At 35.4% G+C, this 2,783-nt stretch overlaps 1 annotated feature.

Annotated features, from left to right (window-relative positions):
* Positions 2,614-2,783: an enhancer, noted in NCBI's record as "experimental_89548 CRE fragment used in MPRA reporter constructs". NCBI's record gives its function as "activates a minimal promoter by MPRAs in K562 erythroleukemia cells, with activity observed for both the introgressed and non-introgressed 6:121968588 variant alleles {active_cell/tissue: K562}" and the evidence as "EXISTENCE:reporter gene assay evidence [ECO:0000049][PMID:34662402]".

A 2,783-nucleotide genomic window follows, 5' to 3' on the forward strand; every position in this document is an offset into this window, starting at 1 on the left:
ATTCCTAGGTTTACAAACCGTTTGATCATTATTTATTTTGAGGGTAGTTATTTCACTCCATGAGAAAGAACCTCTACAGTTTCTTTCAAGCATAGTTTACTTTCTAGGAGAGAAAAAAAAGCACTGTTGTTAAATCCCAGTAAAGGCAGCAAATGTACATTCAAATGTCCTTCTCTGAGATAGTTACATTACTATGAGAATTGTGAACTCTGATTTTGGAAAAGAGACAGTTCATCAGGTCTTGACTTTGGAGACAAGATTCACACTGCAATTATTTAATGTACTCTTTCTCTCATTTTTATTTACATATTTAAATTATACATCTCTATTTATGAAACTATAATTGATAAAAATGAGGGGTTTTTGGTGGGGAGAGGGGTAAGTTGTCTATTACATTTCTTTTAAGGGCCTAGAAATTAGTCCAAGTGAAGACATAATTTCATCCATGATCAAGTCAGCAATGAATTGGTGAAAGGTCACATAGGGTAACCAGGAGATCTGGAGGGTCCCAGGGTACACATGACTGTGCAAGCTCACCACCAGACCACTGTGGTCTGCTCTCTGCAGAGACATCCTGTGGTTAGCTGAGTCAATAACTGAAGTTCTCAAAACTTCTTCCCCAACAAAAATAATGAGCTTTAATAAAATTGTACTTACTGTTATGCAAAGAATGAGACAGGAAAAGAGAATCAATTGAAGGGAATGCATTGTTAGACTTACCACTGCACTGCCATCAACAAGAAATTATTGAGTACCTATTATGTGAAGGGTCCTTTGGATATCGAGTATACAGTGTAGTTCATACCTGTACAGAACTTTCACTTTTGTCTAGGAGATGATGACATGTTTTCTCTGTTCTTCTCTCTTTCTTTGTCATTCTCTCTCTCTCTTTTCTACATATATAGAGAGACATATAGCACAAATATACATGTGTACATATAAAAAAACACACATAAAAACTTGACAAAATAAAGCAGCTTATAAGAAATACCCTAAAGTTGTACAAGCAATAACCATTCCATAAGTTTAGAGAAGGGTCTGTGCCTGTTTTTATTGTTGTTTTCAGGATAGATGTAGAAGAGAAACAAAAGACATGAGGAGAAAGAGAGAAAAAAAAGAAGAAACTCCCCAGGATCATATGTTTTTTAGATGTCTCTGTTATAGATGACTAGAGTCTAAACTAAGGTATAACTGTGAGAATAAGCACAGAAAGGCATGACTTTTTGAGGCATTTTGAAAATACAAAACTACAGTTTTCATGCTTTTATTGTTCCTTCCCTAGAGCACTTTCCCCAACCACTCATCTACAGAACTGCTTTTCAATTGGCAAAGACTAGATTTATTTTTTTTCCAATTCATCATGGACTAATAGTTTTATAAACTACAATAAAAGTAAATTAGTAGAAAAATGAAATAAAAATAAATACTTTCAAAATAAAGCCCCAATATTTTATTATTAAATTCATCAAGCATAAGGTTACATTTTTAGTAAATATAATAAGAACAAGCCTAATGTGGGTAAAAACACAAAATACAATAAAAAATGGTAAATACGGCCTGGCACGGTGGCTCACACCTGTGATGCCAGCATTTTGGGAGGCTGAGGTGGGCGGATCATGAGGTCAGGAGATCGAGACCATCCTGGCTAACATGGTGAAACCCCGTCTCTTAATAAAAATACAAAAAATTAGTTGGGCGTGGTGGCGGGCACCTGTAATCCCAGCTACTCGGGAGGCTGAGGCAGGAGAATGGCGTGAACCCGGGAGGCGAAGCTTGCAGTGAGCCGAGATCGTGCCACTGCGCTCCAGCCTAGGCGACATAGCGAGTCTCCGTCTCAAAAAAAAAAAAATGGTAAATACTGTTCATTAAAAGTGTGTATATAGGCAGTACATATGGAAAATTGCTACTCTACTCATAACTTTTTTGATTTGCTATCATGACTAAACAAAACTTAGTGAAATGGTGACTCCCAACAATAAAAGCCTTTAAACACACTTTAAACAAACATAGTGTGTATTGATACTTAAAGTTTTTAGCATGACAAATGAGTTTGTTTTTTGCCTCTTAATTCGTCTAATCTAGGTTGAATTGATGACAACTCTGCTTGCAGAAGATAATATATATTTAACTGCTTCTATGTTTTATCAGTATTACATTAATAGTAGAGACAGCATCTTAGAGGATGCTGATATGAATGAAAAAAAGGTCATTCAGTACATGCAGAAATTTTCATTTTTAACTGATCAAAATGAAACAAGGGACATTGTATTTTTAAAATTCATAATTACTTGTGCATTAGTAACCAGTTTCAGTAATTTTTCCTGTAGAGTTACGGTTAAATTTAAATTAGCTTTTAATGAAAGAAATAAATTTTGGATTATGTACACATTTGGCTTACAGTTGACAAACTAAAATATTCCAAGTTGGAACATGGTTCTATTGTGCATAGTACTTCTACATAGCTCACGCCACCAGCAACAGGAGTGTGATGGCCTCTACTCTTTTTACCTAGTTATCTAACACACACAACAATTATTACAGCCACGCCAAACTGCTATAAAAGTTTCTAACACCTAATCTCAGTGTGTGCGTTTTTCTTTTTGCAGACAGTGAATAAACAACATTTAGACTGCACCATTCCACGGATCACAATCCCACCCCACTTCCCAGCTTCTATTGGTCTCTGATTCATCTGCCTGTGTATTTCCTTCATAATCCTTTCTTGTTTTGTCTTGTAATAATCATTTATCTGTTAATCTTTACATATTAGTTTTCCCCATTAA

Source organism: Homo sapiens, chromosome 6 (genome assembly GCF_000001405.40).
Source record: "Homo sapiens chromosome 6, GRCh38.p14 Primary Assembly".
NCBI lineage: Eukaryota > Metazoa > Chordata > Mammalia > Primates > Hominidae > Homo > Homo sapiens.